The sequence below is a fragment of the Homo sapiens genome, chromosome 4, assembly GCF_000001405.40.
Source record: "Homo sapiens chromosome 4, GRCh38.p14 Primary Assembly".
In the NCBI taxonomy this organism is placed as follows: Eukaryota; Metazoa; Chordata; class Mammalia; order Primates; family Hominidae; genus Homo; species Homo sapiens.
In genome coordinates, this window is record NC_000004.12 from 67,508,004 (window position 1) to 67,526,953 (window position 18,950).

General features: G+C 36.5%; 1 protein-coding gene across 5 annotated transcripts in view, besides 2 other annotated features; it reads right to left on the minus strand.

Annotated features, from left to right (window-relative positions):
* Nucleotides 1-18,950, minus strand: part of CENPC (centromere protein C) — a 76,742-nt gene that overhangs the window by 39,242 nt on the left and 18,550 nt on the right. For all 5 annotated transcript variants that reach the window (NR_155754.2, NM_001362481.2, XM_047449526.1 and 2 more), the window contains exons 6-10: nt 11,214-11,499; nt 10,153-10,365; nt 6,071-6,684; nt 4,399-4,566; nt 811-1,102 (exon numbers count right to left, since the gene is read on the minus strand). Coding sequence is in view for 4 of the 5 variants with exons in the window: in NM_001362481.2 (NP_001349410.1) it covers nt 811-1,102; nt 4,399-4,566; nt 6,071-6,684; nt 10,153-10,365; nt 11,214-11,499 (1,573 nt within the window). In the remaining variant the exon portion in view is untranslated. The remainder of the gene's footprint in view (nt 1-810; nt 1,103-4,398; nt 4,567-6,070; nt 6,685-10,152; nt 10,366-11,213; nt 11,500-18,950) is intronic.
* Nucleotides 11,970-12,471: an enhancer, noted in NCBI's record as "H3K27ac hESC enhancer chr4:68385691-68386192 (GRCh37/hg19 assembly coordinates)". NCBI's record gives its function as "activates a minimal SCP1, AML or CMV promoter by ChIP-STARR-seq in primed H9 embryonic stem cells {active_cell/tissue: H9 hESC(primed)}" and the evidence as "EXISTENCE:reporter gene assay evidence [ECO:0000049][PMID:30033119]".
* Nucleotides 12,472-12,971: an enhancer, noted in NCBI's record as "H3K27ac hESC enhancer chr4:68386193-68386692 (GRCh37/hg19 assembly coordinates)". NCBI's record gives its function as "activates a minimal SCP1, AML or CMV promoter by ChIP-STARR-seq in primed H9 embryonic stem cells {active_cell/tissue: H9 hESC(primed)}" and the evidence as "EXISTENCE:reporter gene assay evidence [ECO:0000049][PMID:30033119]".

An 18,950-nucleotide genomic window follows, 5' to 3' on the forward strand; every position in this document is an offset into this window, starting at 1 on the left:
ACAAAGTATGTATTACCTCAATAGGTTGTTGGAACTAATAAGAATTCATTAAAAGTATCTAGCAAATATTTGGCACATAGTATGAACTCAAAAAATGTTAACTATTATCATCCTAAGAAGAAAAGTATTAAGCTATATTCCTAACTATTGAAATCACATTAATCTCACTTAAAAGGAAACAATTTGAACTATACACTTAAAAAAGATTAAGACAGTAAATTTTATGTTATGTGTTTTTTGTCTGTTTGTTTTTTGAATCTCTACTTTGGGAGCCCAAGGCAGGAGAATCACTTCACACCAGGCGTTCAAGACAAGCCTAGGCAACAAAGCAAGACCTCATTTCTCCAACAAATTAAAAAATTAGCCAGGTGTGGTGGTCCACACCTGTAGTCCTAGCTACTCAGGAAGCTAAGGCAGAAGGATTATCTGACCCAGAAGTTTGAGGTTACAGTGGGCTATGATCACGCCACTGCACTCCAGCCTGGGAAACAGAGGAAGACTCTGTCTCTTAAAAAAAAAAAAAAAAAAAAAAAGTTTAACTCTTGGATGACAATAATATCTTATTAAATTTAACAGTCATAATTCCAGGTGCTATGTACTATTCCCTATTTTAATATGAGGAAACAAGTGCAGAGTACTACTTTGCCTGTGTGTCATCCAGCTAATGGTAGAGGCTGGATTTAATACCAGGTATGTCAGAGTGCAGAGCTCTTCATGCTAATTACTGCCTGTCCATAAATGACTAAATAGCACAAATTATTAAATGCTGAACAACAAAAGTAACTATATTGTACACATAACAGACATTACCTAGAACAATCAAGATTTTTCTTCTTAGCCAAGTCTGCCTCATCACTTTCCAATGGCTCACTCAGCGAACATCTGGAAATTTCATCATGACCAACGATACCTCCAGAACCTTCAGCATTTAAAAACTTCTGTACTCTTTGGTTGCCTTTAGTTGCTGTCTTCTGCCTTTTAAGTGGAATAGTTTTTTTCCTAATATTCTTAGATGACTGATTTGTTTTCTTAGTAGATTTTCGGCTACTATTGTGATGCATTGGTAATTCATTTCTTACTGAAGAATTGCTATAAACAGGACCTGAAGGATTCAATGATAACCTAAAGTTAGTAAGTTTGTCCAGATGATTTGGCTCACTGAAATACCAACAGCATTTATATTTGCATATAAACATATACACATACACACACACACACACACACACACACACACACACACACACACACACACATCTCAGGCTAAATTTATTTCCAAATTAAATTCTTTAAACAATGTAGCTCTTCAGTTTATAGATATATGAAACAGGCCCTTCAAATCTGTCACAGGCTTCAAGAAACACTCTCTGGCTCTGCCCACTGCCCTTCTGGCCATCCTTAATATCTGATATTCCCCAAGGTGACAGCTTCAGCTTTTCACTCCATATACTTTCATTGACGGACTTATCTACCCAGAGCTTTAATTACTATCTATATGCTGACACCTATAATATCCATCTACTGCTCTCCCCTATATCTGCCTCTCTTGCTTTATTTCCTATCTTAATGAAAAATACAACTACCTATTCTATCCAGATATCTAAATCAGAAATTTGAGTCATGCAAGACTACTACTCCTATCCACAATCACGCCCTAAATCCCATCAATTCTACTTTATTAATGCCTTTCAAATCTTTCAAGCTCTCCCTCCTGTCATTAGTAGAAGTCCTCATTATTTCATATCTGGATTATTAAAACAGTCTCTTTACTAATCTCCCCCTCCCTAGCCTTGTTTTTCTTCAATCCATTCCCTACACTGCTGCAAGAATCACCTTTGGAAAACAAAAACTGGATCATTACAACTCTGCTTAATTAAAGTATTTTAGTTATTATCTATAGCTTCAGGATGAAGTCCAAATACTTCAACATCAATTCATATCTACATCTAGATTTGCTTATTTCATAAACCACAATTCCCAAAACCCCCCTCCAAACAAACAAACCAAAAAAAGCCATCAGTAATGAACAATCTACAGTTTCTCTAAAGCACTGGTTGTCCAAAGGCAGTCTCTAGACCAGCAAGATCAGCATTATCTGGGAATTTGAAATGTAAATTATCATGCCTCACCTCAGACCCCAGTGAATCAAAGACTTTGCAGAGCAGGGCCCAGTAACCTGTGCCTTAATAGGCCCCCCAGACAATTCTAAAGCACACTAAATTAAAGAAAGAAAAGATCAAGCTCTCTGCTCCAGATCTCTGCACAAGCTACTTCTACTTAAAACATTCCATAACTTCCTCCTTACTCCACTCAATCACTTAGCTAACTCCTAGTTCATCCTTCAGGAAGCTTTCCCTAATTTCCAAGTCTTAGGTAGCTTGCTATCACACATACGACTGTTTACTTATCTCTACTTCTCTCCTCCAGCAGACTAACAACTCCTTGACCTCAAGTAATTGATTGGTATTTTATCTATGTATATTCCCAATGCCTAATGACAGGGGCAGGACTATGGTGAAGCAAGAGTAGCCTCAGCTGGAAAATTCAAGAAGGTACTCATTTTCAGGTCTGTGCAAGTACAGAGCCCGAACTGATACAATCCTGTGACTGACTGCCTTAAATTTTTCACCCTAGTGTCTCATTGTCTTACCCTAGTCCTGGTCCTACTTTACCTCATTCCTGCCCCATGGCAAGTACTCCATATACATTTCTTCATATATATGGAAGGGCAACAGTGTCACACGTACGACAGGCAGGCTGGGGGCAGGTCAAGTTGTTCTTCTTAACTTCAGACTTCAGTTTCTTCTTCCATCAGATGAGAGTTTAGACTATATGATATATAAAGATTCCTCCACTTTTTCGACTCCCAGCTTGATCAAAAATCCAACATCTATTTCAGGACTCTTAAATAAGTGTTTTTTGATAGTTTCAGAGATCTAGCACATTTATCCAAGTTCTGTAAGAATTTATTTACCCATCTGTTTATGTATTCATCTGCCACATAGTACTTAGCATTTCAGGCAACCTGGGGCAGAAAAGTGAGTTCCCCAAAGCAGTAACAGTATTATTTAACACTTCAATACTAACATATGCCACCTACTATGCTAATTGCATTTAAACCTTATAAAAACTCAATGAGGTAATCATGTTACAGAATGAGAAACTAAACAAAGCAATCTACTCAAAGTGGAAGAGTGATACTTTGAACTCAGATCTCACTCCAAAATCCAAAGGCTGCAACAAAATAAATACTTGCTGCTATCCATCAAGAATCTCAATGATTTAATAATTCATAGCAATAAGGCCTCACATATACAATGCCATAGTTGTACTAATCATTCACTTATTAATCTAAATGCCCCAAAGTCAATAGTATTTGTGTATGTGAATGCTACCTTATGATCCACCAATCTTTTCAGGATCACTTTCTTTAAAAAGGGACAATTCTCCCAAAACAATAAATGTTTCATATTGTGCAGAAAAAAGTTAGCAAAGCAGGTCTGAGTATACTACCCTTAAAAGGGCCTGCTTTCAAAGTTAGCCCTGTAAACTTAAATTTCAGGATTGTTCCCGTCATTTCCTAATTGGCAAACGTGGTGTTGTGGGCCTAAACTGCTTATGCAAAAAATATGGTTTAGGCAAATATTGCCTTCCTTCAGGGAGTCTGGAATTGTAGTACTTGCTAGATAGAGAGTACCTATGTGACCACCCCCAGGAAAGATCTTGGGCACTAAGTCTCTAGTGAGCTTCCCTAATAGACATTTTGCCTATTTGTCACAACTCATTGCTAGAGGAATTAAGCAGCTCCTGTGGGAATCCACTGGGAAAGGACTCTTTAAGCTTCTGCTGATTTCCTCCAGACTTAACCCATGCACTTTTTTTCTACTGAATTTGCACTGCATCCTTTCACTGTAATGAATCACAGCCATGAGTACAACTATATGCCCAGTCCTCCTAGCAAATTACCAAATCTGAGGGTAGTCTTGGGAACCTCCAACACAAGTAATTTACTTTTTTATGTGTAATAAACTATAATCTTTTAGATTATAAACTCCTTGGTGGCAGAACCTCATATTATCAATCTTTGTATCCCTCACAGCCAGGACATTAAAATAGCTGGATTATTTATATTGCCTTTCCCAACTAGAATGCAAGCTCCATGAAAGCAGGGATTTCTGGTTTGGGGTTTTGTTTTCCCACAGCTATTATCCCTATTCCTAAAATACTGTATATATTAACGCTTCAAGGAATATCTTTACCATTGATTTAATATTCCTTTTGATGACCCAATTTAACTTGGTCCTCATGATATTCTCTATATAGAAATATAAAATCAAACATAATGCCCCTTACAGAATGATTTTGTCTATGAACAAACACAATTTAAATAAAAATACTTACTCTCCTCTGATTTTACCACCCACCAATCAGATGGACGCCTGGAAATTCTTCGACTTTTCGTGACAGTTGAAGTCACTTCTTCAGGTACAAGTTTGTTCTTGGACTCACTGGAAAAGCGCTTCTTTTTAGATTCTTCCTTATCTTTTCTAGTGCTACTTTTCTTGCTTCCTAAAATAAAGAAAACCATAAAACCAATTCACAATCTACTAAAAGAGTTTTCAGAAAACCACAAGATTATAAAAAAACCGTCAATTACAGGAACTTCTTAAATTTATCCTGTGGCCTTTTCATCTCCATTTTTAAAAGTCACATGTTCTCTTTCTGTCAATTATATGTGCTGCTGAAGTAAGCACTAACTTCCTATTAAATGCAAATTTTCACACTGCTTGATAACTCTTATATACTCCTCAGCCAAAAAAATAAGTATCTTCTGAAACTGAAAAAAAAATACAGTTCCTTCCTATAACGTCCTAAGTAAAAGTAGGCAATTACTGCTTTCCTGTTTTGAAATAATGATTTTTTTCAACTTAAGAAGAGGAGATTTAAAGTGTGATTAAATTATAAACTCTGAAATAGAGGCATTATCTTGGATCATCCAGGTTGACCCAATCTAATTATGTTTCTTTTAAAAGCTGTGGTCAGAGAGATGAGATGATGGAAGAAGAGGCAAGATAAATTCACAACATGAGAAGGCTGGTATTGCTAGTTTTGCAGATGGTGGAGGAGGACCATGAGTCAAGGAATATAGGTAGTTTCAAGAGGGTGGAAAAGGCAAAGAAACAGACTTCCTCCCAGAGCTACCAGAAAGAAAGAAAACCCCACCAATACCTTGATTTTATCCCAGTGAGACATCTGACCCACAGAACTGTAAGATAATCAATGTTTGTTGTTTTAAGCCAATAAGTGTGTAGTAACTTGTCATATGACAGCAATAGAAAATTAATACAACTGATATGGTAATTAATGAGCATTATATTCACTAACCAATCTAGATACAGAATATATGTAAAAATTAGTGTGTAGAATATAGCAGGTACTCAGAAAATGTTTAATATTTACAATTATAGAGCGCATCTTTCAAGTATACTTCCTTCATATGTCTTTTCCTAAGAAATTATGGATAAATCAAAATTTTGTATCCTTCCTTTTAATCCTATGCATGTATGTATATTATCTATTATTCTACAGAACCCACCAGAATGATCTTGTTAACAGTAGAAATAATGGGTTAGTAATTTTTGTGATTACAGTGCCTAATGCAGTGTATGGCATTCAACAACTGTTAGACACATGAGTGAATGATGGAAGAGAATGGACTTTTATCTCTATAAAAAATAGTCCCACGGTACCCTGGGATTTTTTTTAACATTTTTATTTTCTAAATAATTTATCATTCTGTCTTATTCATCTTCCGATACTAACTTGTTTACTAGCCTTTTCTTTTCACTTTGCCCTCTATATATACTGCCATCTCACAAGATAAACAAAAACTATATGAGTTAGAATTAAATTATATATAAAATAAAAAGGTTCTAGAAAAGAACCTATAGGCTTTTCAGGCTCTTTGTTCATTTAGGTTTACTTTGCCTACTTGCCAAAGCTAAGTTAGGATATTAAAAAACATAAAATGGGTAGAATAATGCTCATGGTTATATTTAATATAAACACTTACCCACAGGTGGCATCTGTTTTTTGGAAACACAATCATTTCCCATCTCTTCATGCTCTTCCATATTTCTGTCTGAATTTCTTTGAAATTCGTCTTGGGTAATATGTGATGTATGTATGTTTTCATCTTTAGACTGTCCCACATCAAGCTGTTCTTCAGCTGGTTTAGCCATGAATTTTCTTCTCTGTTTTTGTTTTATAGTCCTTTTGCTTCTAGATGGTTTTTCTGCATTCTTGGAATACATTTCATATTTTGTAGATCTATAATTATTTACTGTTTCACCTATCAAAGCATAACTTGTATCCAGTACTGTTTTATCAGAGGGCTGAGATGTCTCTACTGGGTGAGGTTTATGGGAATGTTTGTCATTTGCCAAAGTCTTAGGTAATATATTATGATGCTTTTCTCTTGACTTTCTACCTTGAAGGAGTGCAGTGCTCTCAGCCGGGGATATTGTGCGTTGTTTCAGAGACCCTGCCTTTCTTGGTATTGTAATCCAAGATCTACTGGCAAAACTTTGATCCGACTCATCAATTATAAATTCATCCTCTATCAACTTCGTATCATCGGGAGGACACGAATGAGGTGGAGCAGTTGCCGCATGCCTAACAATGGGACTGAAACAGGGTGATACTTTTAACAGTTCAAAAAAATAAAGCTTTTATATTTGTTTAGTAAAGAAAATAATCTAGGAAATAAAATCTAAATTTCTTTTAAACTGTTTATATATCTCCTCAATTTTCCCTTAATCTTACAAATCTTTCCCTCCTTTCACATTTCTATGTCTGTTCACCCTTATTTATAATAGTAATGACATCACAAAAATTTAGAGCTAGAAATCTAGACATCAACAAATTTGATCCCACCCACCCACCCATTATATATACTAAAACTGAAGCCCAGAGAGATATAATTATAACTCAGATACATTGACTCACAGTCCAAAATGAATGCCACTATTATATATAATCTTATATTAAATTATATATTTGTATATATAACTTTTGGGGTCTGAATTTCTTCACATTCAAAATAAGTCAACAAGATTATTTCTGAGAACACTCCAAGTCTAATATTTGAATGGACTACTACTAAATTATAAAAAGTTGAGGAGGCCGGATGTGGTGGCTCACGCCTGTAATCCCAGCACTTTGGGAGGCTGAGGCAGGTGGATCACTTGAGGTCAGGAGTTCAAGACCAGCCTGGCCAACATGGTGAAACCCCGTCTCTACTAAAAATACAAAAATTAGCCAGGCATGATGGCGGGTGCCTGTAATCCCAGCTACTTGGGAGGCTGAGGCGGAAGAATCACTTGAACCCAGGAGGCAGAGGTTGCAGTGAGCCGAGATTGCACCACTGCACTCCAGCCTGGGTGACTGAGCAAAACTCCATCTCAGACAGAAAAAAAAAAAGAGAGAGAGAGAGAGATTGGGGACAATTTCTTCCTATCTTTTTTTACATCCCACAGTTCTTCATACATAGCAACACCAAATACACAGACGGTTGAATGAATGTAAAAATTACTAATATTACTATAGGACTGTAAATTGTAGACCTACAGAACTATAAAATAATAAATGTTGTTTTAAGCCGCTAAGTGTGTAGCAACTTATGACAGCATGTGTGTAAAAATGCATTCCAAGTTTGGGTATTTCACATATATTTTCATATTATAATCATGGTATAGAAATAAATGGAGTGTATCTAGAAAGGTAGCATAAGCACAAAAGAAATCTAGTGCCACAGAAACAGGAAAAATAAAAGGCAAGTCTTATCACAAAGCATACAATGCTACAGAATGTTATTAAATAATGAAGTCAAACAATGTTTCCCAACTCTAGACCTTTCTCCATAGTCCTAGCCCAAACTTTATGTATTTTACTAAAAGGCAGAAAGCCTATATCATGAATATTATTGTTATTTCCCATGCCCAGTGTTGTAAAAGGCTAAAGAGTAAGACAGACAATTTCAACTACAATCTTATGGCTTATAATATAACATCAACATTAATTCTTAAATTTTCATAAAAGCATGTACATGTTAAGAACATACAAAGAGATTCATGCATTTAATGAGGTGTTGAATAAATTAAGACTAGTGCATTGAGATTACACAGTACCTCCTCCAATTAGTCAGGAAACTTTCCTAGAGAAGGGAGGAATTATTCCAAGGACAGTAATCTGATAGACTGACTAATTTTACATTTCCCTGATTGTTTTAATAGCTTTAAGCACACCACATATTGCAGTGAGATACACAAAATAAAAAACAAGGTAAACATCCAAACTCCAAAGCTGGCATACGCACTCGTTTCCACTTTTTCACTAGGATAAGAAGGCTTAGTTAGCTATGTTTAGCCATAACAGAAACAAAGACAGAATGCAAAAATTAGATTATGTTTTTCTCTTTTAATTAGAACATACACAAGGAATCAGAAATGAAAATGCCTTCTCTATTCCTCTAATCGCAAACTCCTGACAAATCTTATAATGTAAAATAGCAAATACTCTAAAAAATATACTCTCTAATGGTAGAGTTTCACAAACTTATATAATTAGAAAACTCTATAAAAACTAATAAAGAACAAAGTCAATACAAATACTACAATGAATGGATGTTAAACAGAAATGATATCCTTAGGAAACAATCTTGACACTATGAAAGTTTACAATAGGGAAAGATGGCTTCTAATTAGCTACAAAAACTATGAAACGCTTTGTAGCATTTAGGCTAGATCTTGGAGGATTTCTAAGATTTGGTCACAAGGAAATGCAAGAAAGACAATCAAAAGGAAGAGCATAAGTGGAAGCAATGATGCTAGAAAGCACTGGGAATAATGAATAGTTATATTTGACTACAACAATTAAACATAAGATGAACTTTACTCACTAGAGTATCAAAAAGAACATTAAAAAATAATTTCTCAGACATTATATAATTAGCCCACAAGTATAACGCATTTGTTTCAGATGGTGGTGACAATATCCATATGAGGTTTAAAATATACACATAAAAATAATTAATCAACTACAGGAAGCAGAGACTGAACAAAAGGGGAATTTCATTCATTCATTTAACATGTTTTTATAAAAACTTCCTTTTTATTTTTGAGACTGAGTCTCACTCTGTCACCTAGGCTAGAGTGCAGTGGCACCGTCTCGACTCACTGCAACCTCCACCTCCCAGGTTCAAGTGTTTCTCTTACCTCAGCCTCCCGAATAGCTGGGATTACAGGCATGTGCCACCAAGCCCGACTAATTTTTGTATTTTTAGTAGAGATGGGGTTTCACCATGTTGGTCAGGCTGGTCTTGAACCTCTGATCTCAAGTGATCCACCCGCCTCGGCCTATCAAAGTGCTAGCATTACAGACATGAGCCACCGCGCCCAGCAATAAAAACTTCCTAGTATATTCACTAGCACTCTGATACCTATGATAGTGACATAAGGGCAGCCTAACATAACGATTTCTAAATACTGCATTGTCGGCCGGGTGCGGTGGCTCAAGCTTGTAATCCCAGCACTTTGGGAGGCCGAGGCAGATGGATCACCTGAGGTCAGGAGTTCGAGACCAGCCTGACCAACATGGGGATATCCCATCTCTACTAAAAATACAAATATTAGACAGGCGTGGTGGCAGGTGCCTGTGATCCCAGCTACTCGGGAGGCTGAGCAGGAGAATCTCTTGAACCCAGGAGGGAGAGGTTGCAATGAGCCGAGATTGCGTCACTGCACTCCAGCCTGGAAGACAGAGCGAGACCCTGTCTCAAAATAAATACATACATACATACATAAATACTGCATTGACTTCAGTCTTTGATATCACACAGACAAACCAGAAGGCAATGAAAACTGAATAAACTTGTTTTCTTTCAAGTCTAATTTAGTATCTATTAAAAAATGGCTTTGGGAGTGACTCACTGACTGGTAAAAAACCATCTCTCCTTACAGGTCAGAAAAAATTTCAATTAAAATTTTTGTTAATTAAATTACTTATTTCTAAGTTAAATAGCATTAGGAATCCTTATATATGGTTCATAGAATATAAAAGAAAAATGTCTCAAAGGGCAGTTTCTTAATAACTCACCTGGATTCACTTTTTCGTTTTACTGTTTCTAAAAACAATGTTGAAAAACTTTTTTTAGCTTGTCGTTGAATTTCATATTCTGAATCTCGTATTCTATTCTGAGATGATCCTGATGGTTTTCTTTCTTGTCCTTCCGATGTTTTATCCTCTTCATCTGATACTTTATTATCTATTTCTATTTTCTTTAACATAACTTTATCATCAAAGTTTAACCTAAAAGGTTAAAAGGAGGGTAAGCTGAATGCTCCCGTAACGTTTCTTGAGTTATAAGTCTTCCTGAACTCCTTTACAGAGACAATACAGACCAATTTAAAATTCTGTACTAGGCATTTATTTAAGACATAAATGCTGATTTGTGCATTCCAAATACATAAGATAAACTGCTCAGGAAAATTAACTTTTGTATTTATCAATAGAAAAACATGAAAGAGAAAATAATGGCTAAAGTATACATCAATGAAATGTATAGCTAGGCAATGGTTCTCAGGGCAATCTTAGAGCACTGTGACAGACCAAACTTTGAATATCAAAGTCTTAGAATATACTTAACTCCTTGGCTCCAGTAATCATACAATACTCTAAATAGAAATTACACTCATTACAGAGATCTCCAAATGCAAAAGACCTTGAATCCACTTTGTTTCCTAAAGGCCAAAGGTAAGGTCAAGAAAGAGAAACCAGCTGTCCACAAAGCATAGCATCCTCAATAATACTTATGCTCTGCTACCCTTGAAGTGACCTGATACACATCTACACTTGCAATTACAAAAAATATTGAGAAAATACAAATTGTTTCTCTTAGGAAGCAATCAAATATTATCAGAGAGAAAACACATTATTCCAGACTATAGAAAAGTTAACCTCTAAACTTCTCTGAAGTACACTTTAAGCCCTTCCTTAATTATTACAAACTGAATATATGCTAAATGTATACTTTCTCATAACATGTTAATATTCCTCCTTCCTTAGTGTAAAATAATATAACAAGATTGAATTACCATTTTTTAATACAAAAAGTAAAATTTTTAAAGTGCGTTAACATTATTTAAATAAAATGTTACCTTTTTTTGGTTTTAACTGAAACCTCTGTACTTGAAGGCAGCATATTTACTGAATTTTCAAAAGTGTAAGTCTCTCTCTTTTGGGCACTAGATGGAATAACATTTTGTGATACAGATGTTTTTGCATCCAAAAGAACAGAAGGTGAGCCAACGGATAAGTAAAATTCTTCATCAGCTTCACTGTGATGATCATTTATGTTTCTACTTGATATTTTTTTCGAGTCAGGTGTATTTTTGGAACTAACATCAGTTGCCAGAATTTTCTGATGAACTTCATGGGCCTGAACTAGAAGAAAATTATATAAAGATATTTGTCAATTAAAAGAATAATAAGAGAATCAAGCAGGCTTTTTAAAAATTCTGCAATAATTTAATCAGAAATAGTTTTCAGAAAACTCAAAGTCATTAAGATTAGAATCAAAGATCTATGATTAAAATAAGTAAGTACTTAAGATTCTTCTATCTTTGGGCTAAAAATTGGTGACCTAGGGCAGCTAGATGATATATTTACACATACACACATGGAATATAGATATAACAGATATAGAGAGATACAACATAAGCATGTGTGTATATATACATACACAGTATATATGTATATGAACATTTATCTATAATGAGAAAATTTAAAAGAATGTATCCATATTCTCTTAACCCTCACCCTTCAGAACGAGATGGCATTTCCCTGCTTCTCCCTCTAAATACAACTAACTTCCCTGGAAATTATCCATCAATCAACAACAGGACTCTGAAAGCTGGAAGAAAAAAAGGTAGACTAGCTAGGAAGCTCAAGACCAGAAACAGACAAGCCTTAGGTTTTCTGTCTGTCTCCCATATACCCCTGGACTGGTTGCTAGTATAACCTGTAACCACCAATAGGTGAAAGACAGGGTGGAGGCTGGGTGGAAATGCATTCTCTGAACAAGGTAAACCCACCGAAGACCTAATGAGGAAACTCAAGCCCCATTCAGCACTCTCGGCCATGGAGCACTCCTTACTACCTGCATTGGCAAAGCAACAAAGCCCTGGGCTGTGCTATGGGACTGTAGCAGTAAAGGAGCTCATACCAAGCCAGTCCCGCTTCTACAATCATAGATGGCAGGCGGTATGACCCACATGAAGCTGTAGAGTAGTGAAACCCCTGACCTTCACAGCCCAAGGCAACATTTTGATCCACTGATAGTATTGACACCCCAGGCCATCCCAGTCCCTACTTTACAACCAGGGCACCAGCAGACAGTCTAATCTGAGGCAAGAACAGCGTAAGAGAGGCCAGCAACCCCCTGTCCTCCACCCAATGATATAAGGAAACCCAGGACCAGCAGCTTCTAACCAGAACCCCACACAAGTGAACATGGACATCAAAAGGCATCTTCTACCCACCCCAGACAGCACCAACAGGAACTGAGCTAGAATCCTAACAGCATCAGAAAATGAAGTAGAACAAAATACCACTATTACTCTGAACACTTAACTATCATTGAAAATAAAACTCATAAAACTAGGAAAGAGGGGCTGGGCGCAGTGGTTCATGCCTGCAATCCCAGCACTTTGGGAGGCCAAAACGGGTGGATCACTGGAGGCCAGGAGTTCAAGACCAGCCTGGCCAACATGGCGAAACCCCATCTCTACTAAAAATACAAAAATTAGCCAGGCGTAGTGGCACATGCCTGTAATCCCAGCTACTCGGGAGGCTGAAGCATGAGAATCACTTGAACCCAGGAGGCGGCGGTTGCACTGAGCTAAGATCACACCACTGCCCTCCAGCCTGAGCGACAGAGCAAGACTCTGTCTCAAAAAATAAACAAATAAATAAATAAATAAATAAATAAATAAATAACACAGGAAAGAACCTATACATTAAACCAAAATAGGGCAACTATGTGCTGTAACAAAAGATTTAAGTAGTCTAAGAATCCCCTAACATAAGTAACCAAATCTCAGGAATACAATCAAAACAACTCGTCATACCAAAACCAAAACAAACCAAAAAAAAAAAAAAGTAAGAAATAATGATCAATAGACATAAATGAGATGAATCAGATTTTAAAATTATTTAACAATAAATTTTAAAGCAAACATCATAAAATGCTTTAATAATCAATTACAAATCCTCTTGTAACAAATGAAAAAGAAACTCTCAAAGTAGCATTTTTTAAAAAAAAGTTTTTTGGATATTAGCCATTATCAGTAAGTAGTGATTTTTAAATATTATTTTAAATTTTCCTAATAACAGTGATGTAAAACAAATCAAAACTACAATGAGATACTACATCACACCCATTAGGATGACTATTATTTATAAAAACAAAAGATAACAACTGTTGATGTAGAAAAAAATGGAACCTTTGTGCATGCACTGCTAGTGTGAATGTAGAATGACAGTCACTATGAAAAGTGCACAGTGGATCCTTAAAAACTTAAAACTGAAAGCAGGAACTCAAAGAGATACTTTCACACTAATATTCATAGCAGCATTACTCACAATAGCCAAAAAGCGAAAACAACCCAAGTGCCCATCAACAGATTAATAGATAAAAAGTGGTATACACATACAATGAAATATTACCCAGTCTTAGAATGAAATTCTGACACATACTACAACATGGATGAACCTTGAAGACATTATGCTTAGTGAAATAAGCCAGTCACAGATAAATTTTCTGTCTGAAATTCATGGACAGAAAAAAGTAGAATGGTGGTTGCCAGGGCTAATGGAAAAAGAGATACTGTTTAATGGGTACAGTGTTTCAGTTGTGAAAAATGAAAGAAGTTCTATGGATTCATGGTGGTGATAGCCTCACAACAATGTGAATGTACTTAATGCTACTGAACTGTATACTCAGAAATAAAGTGGACAATTTTATGTTTATATTATACAATATTTTAAAATACACTTCTTTAAAAAAGAGCAAAGGAAGTGACGTGTGTATATAAACAAACTAAAACAAAAAGTCTTGTAAAGTTAAAAAATATTAAAATACCTGACAACAGAAATAACTAACAGTAGTATTTAAGTTGGGAATTCGTTGTTTCAGTTACCATGTCTGCATAATATAACTTCTTAACTTGGCTGCATAAAACAACTATTTGTTATGTTCATGGATTCAGTAAGTCAGCAATTCAGCAGAGCACAGAAGGGACGGATTCTTCCATGAAGTCTGAGCCCTGGAATCATCTGACAGCTTGTTTACACATATTTGACACCTGGTCTTGACTGCAGGCTGGGAGTCTTTTCTCTCCATAATGGCTACTTTGGGCTTCTTCACAGCATATTGTCTGGGTTCCAAGGGCAACTGGAGAGAATAAGAAAGACAGGAAGAGAGAGAGAGAAGGAGAGAGAGATCCAGCATGCCAAGCAGAGCCATATAGCCTTTTATGACCTAATCATGGAAATCACATGTATTACATATGCCACATTCAATGTATATGTAGAAACAACCTCAATGAAGTGGATGGGGGGAAAGGTGATGACCTAAGAAAGATCAGAAATGAATCAAAGGCCAGGTGTGGTGGCTCATGCCTGTAATCCCAGCACTTTGGGAGGCCAAGGTGGGTGGATCACCTGAGGTCAGGGGTTCCAGATGAGCCTGGCCAACATGGTGAAACCCCATCTCTACTAAAAATACAAAAATTATGTGGGCGCAGTGGTGTGTGCCTATAATCCCAGCTACTTGGGAGGCTGAGACAGGAGAATCACTTGAACTCAGGAGGCGGAGGTTGCAGTGCACCAAGATTGTGCCATTGCACTCCAGCCTGGGTGATAAGGGCAAAATTCCATCTCAAAAAAAAAAAAATTAAAAGGAATGAATCAGCTGGGCATGGTGGCTCACACTTATAATCCCAGCCCTTTGGAATGCTGAGGCAGGCGGATAACTTGAGGTCAGGACTTTAAGACTGGCATGGCTAACATGATGAAGCCCCGTCTCTACTAAAAACACAAAAAATTAGATGAGCGTGGTGGCTGCTGCCTGTAATCCCAGCTACTCAGGAGGCTGAGGCAGGAGAATTGCTTGAACCCTGGAGTCAGAAGTTGCAGTGAGCCGAGATCACGCCACTGCATTTCAGCCAGGGAGACAGAGGGAGACTCTCTCAAAAAAACAAAAAATGAATGACGTCTGTAAGACTGAAGGCAAAAGAAACTGTACATAAGCACTATTCTCTAGTTGATAAAACTGTTTTCCACAGGATATGAGTCAACAATTCTGACACTCTTTTACATGTATACAGAAATGTAAAAGATAAGTAAATGGATGTTGAATGGTGAACGCCCAGTTTCTCATTCATGTAATGGGAGTTTACAGATAAGCAAGAGGAGGAGGCTAGAATAATCCACGTGGTAATGGATTAGAGTCAGAGACATCAATATGAACTTATGATTACTTCAACATAGATACAGATAGTTACATTTAAAGATATTTATAGGTATGTGTTGATACACAAGTTATTGTACACACACATACATTTACCCAGCTCTATCAGTTGAAAGGGTCTAGCAGCAACAACTCTACAGGAGTGACAGCACACCTAGCACTCAGATCTTGGTTTCTAATAACATTACCCAGTAAAAGAAATCATGATTCCATGAAGAAATGGTTGATTCTGGGATGGGGCAGGAGAGCATCTTGTGGCTCTAAAAGGTATGAAAGTGCTCAGAAACAACAACAAAAATGGGCCATGTCAAAGGGACACTGGAACCAAAGTAAGAGCTTCTATTAGCCAAATCTGCAACAATCTGAATAACAAAATAAACAGTAATGAATTATAAAGTAGAAAATAAAATTTATCCATCAAGAAAAGAACAAAATAAACCCAATCAAGCAGAAGGATGGGAAAAAATAAAGAGCAGAAATCAATAAAACTGAAAATAGAAAAATACAGAAAACTATTGCAGGAAAAAAAACTACAAAATGATAAACCTCTATCTAACAAAATTGACAACTATAAGAAGACACCAACCATCAATATGTGGAATAAAATAGGGGATGATGTCACAATAGATTTTGCAGCCACCAAAAATAGGGTAATGCTTCTGTTTGAAAACTGGCACGAGACAAGGATGCCCTCTCTCACCACTCCTATTCAACACAGTATTGGAAGTTCTGGCCATGGCAATCAGGCAAGAGAAAGAAATAAAGTGTATTCAAACAGGAAGAGAGAAGAGAGGAAGTCAAACTGTCTCTGTTTGCAGATGACGTGATTGTATACTTAGAAAACCCCATCGTTTCAGTCCCAAAACTCCTTAAGCTCATAAGTAACCTCAGCAAAGTCTCAGGATACAAAATTAATGGCAAAAATCACAAGCATTCCTATACACCAATAACAGACAAGCAGAGAGCCAAAACATGAATGAACTCCCATTCACAACTGCTACAGAGAAAATAAAATACCTAGGAATACAACTTACAAGGGACGTGAGGGACCTCTTGAAGGAGAACTACTAACCACTGCTCAAGGAAATGAGAGAGGACACAAAGAGAAAAAAATTCCATGCTCATGGATATGAAGAATCAATATAGTGAAAATGGCCACACTGTGCAAAGTAATTTATAAATTCAATGCTACTCCCATCATGCTACTATTGACTTTCTTCACAGAACTAGAAAAAACTACTTTAAATTTCATATAGAACCAAAGAGCCCATATAGCCAAGACAATCCTAAGCAAAAAGAACAAAGTGGAAGGCATCACACTACCTGGCTTCAAACTATACTATAAGGCTACAGTAACCAAAACAGCTTGGTACTGGTACCAAAACAGATATATAGACCAATGGAACAGAACAGAGGCCTCAGAAATAACACCACACATCTACAACCGTTTGCTCTTCGACAAACCTGACAAAAACAAGCAATGAGGAAAGGATTCTCTGTTTAACAAATGGTGCTGGGAAAACTGGCTAGCCATATGCAGAAAACTGAAACTGGACCCCTTCCTTACACCTTATACAAAAATTAACTCAAGATGCATTAAAGACTTAAATTTAAGACCTAACATCATAAAAACCCTAGAAGAAAACCTAGGCAATACCATTCAGGACATAAGCATGGGCAAAGACTTCATGATTAAAACACCAAAAGCAATTGCAACAAAAGCCAAAACTGACAAATGGGATCTAATTAAATGAAAGAGCTTCTGCTCAGCAAAAGAGTGAACAGGCAACCTACAGAATGGGAGAATATTTTTACAACCTCTCCATCTGACAAAGGTCTAATATCCAGAATCTACAAGAAACTTAAACAAATTTACAAGAAAAACAAAAACAAACAATCCCATCAAAAAGTGGGCAAATGATATGAACAGACACTTCTCAGAAGAAGACATTTACACAGCCAACAAACATAATTAAAAAAAAGCTCATCATCACTGGTCATTAGAGGAATGCAAATCAAAACCACAATGAGATACCATCTCACACCAGTTAGAATAGTGATCATTAAAAAGACAAGAAACAACAGATGCTGGCAAGGATGTGGAGAAACAGGAAGACTTTTACACTGTTGGTAGGAGTGTAAATTAGTTCAACCATTGTGGAAGACAGTGTGGCAATGCCTCAAGGATCTAGAACCAGAAATACCATTCAACCCAGCAATCCCATCACTGGGTATGTACCCAAAGGATTATAAATCATTCTGCTATAAAGACACATGCACATCTGTGTTTACTGCAGCACTATTTACAATAGCAAAGACTTGGAACCAACCCAAATGCCCATCAATGATAGACTGGATAAAGAAAATGTGACAGATATACACCACAGAATACTAAGCAGCCATAAAAAAGAAATGAGTTCATGTCCTTTGCAGGGACATGGATGAAGCTGGAAACCATCAACCTCAACAAACTAAAACAGAAAACCAAACACTGCATGTTCTCACTCATAAGTGGGAGTAGAACAATGAGAACATATGGACACAGGGAGGGAAACATCACACACCAGGGCCTGTGGTGGGGGGAGGGAGGAAAGGGAAGGGAGAGCATTAGGACAAACACCTAACTCATGTGGGGCTTAAAACCAAGATGACGGGTTGATAGGTGCAGCAAACCACTATGGCACAGGTGTACCTATGTAACAAACCTGCATGTTCAGCACATGTATCCCAGAACTTAAAGTAAAAAAAATATTTAAAAAAACTCAAAAAAAAAATAGGGTAGTGCTATGAACAACTTTATGCTTACAAACTTGACAGATGATTAGAAAAAATGGACCGATACCTCAGAAAACACAAACTACCAAAATTCAGTCACAATGAAATTGATAATCAAAATAGTCCTATAACTATTAAAGAATTAATATTGCTATTTAAAAGTTCTTGAAAAAAAAATCTCCTGGACCAGATGATTTCACCGGAGACTGTTACACCAAATAGTTAAAGGATTAACACCAATTTTACACAGTTCCTTCCAGAAATTAGAAAAGGGAATAATTCCCAACTCATTTAATAAGGCAAATATTACCTTGATAACAAAACCATACAAACACAGCATTAAAAAAACTATAAACCAATCTCTCCTTACTTAAATACAAAAATCCTCAAAATTTTACCAAGTCACATCCAACAATGTATAAAAAATAGCAATAGTGCACAATAATTGACATTTATAGATAACTACACCCAACAACAGAAAACATTTTTTTTAAATGCCCATTCATAAAGACATGCAATATCTTGGGTCATAAAACAAATCTTCATAAATGTAGAACTGAAATTGCACAGTGCATACTATGTCATAAAG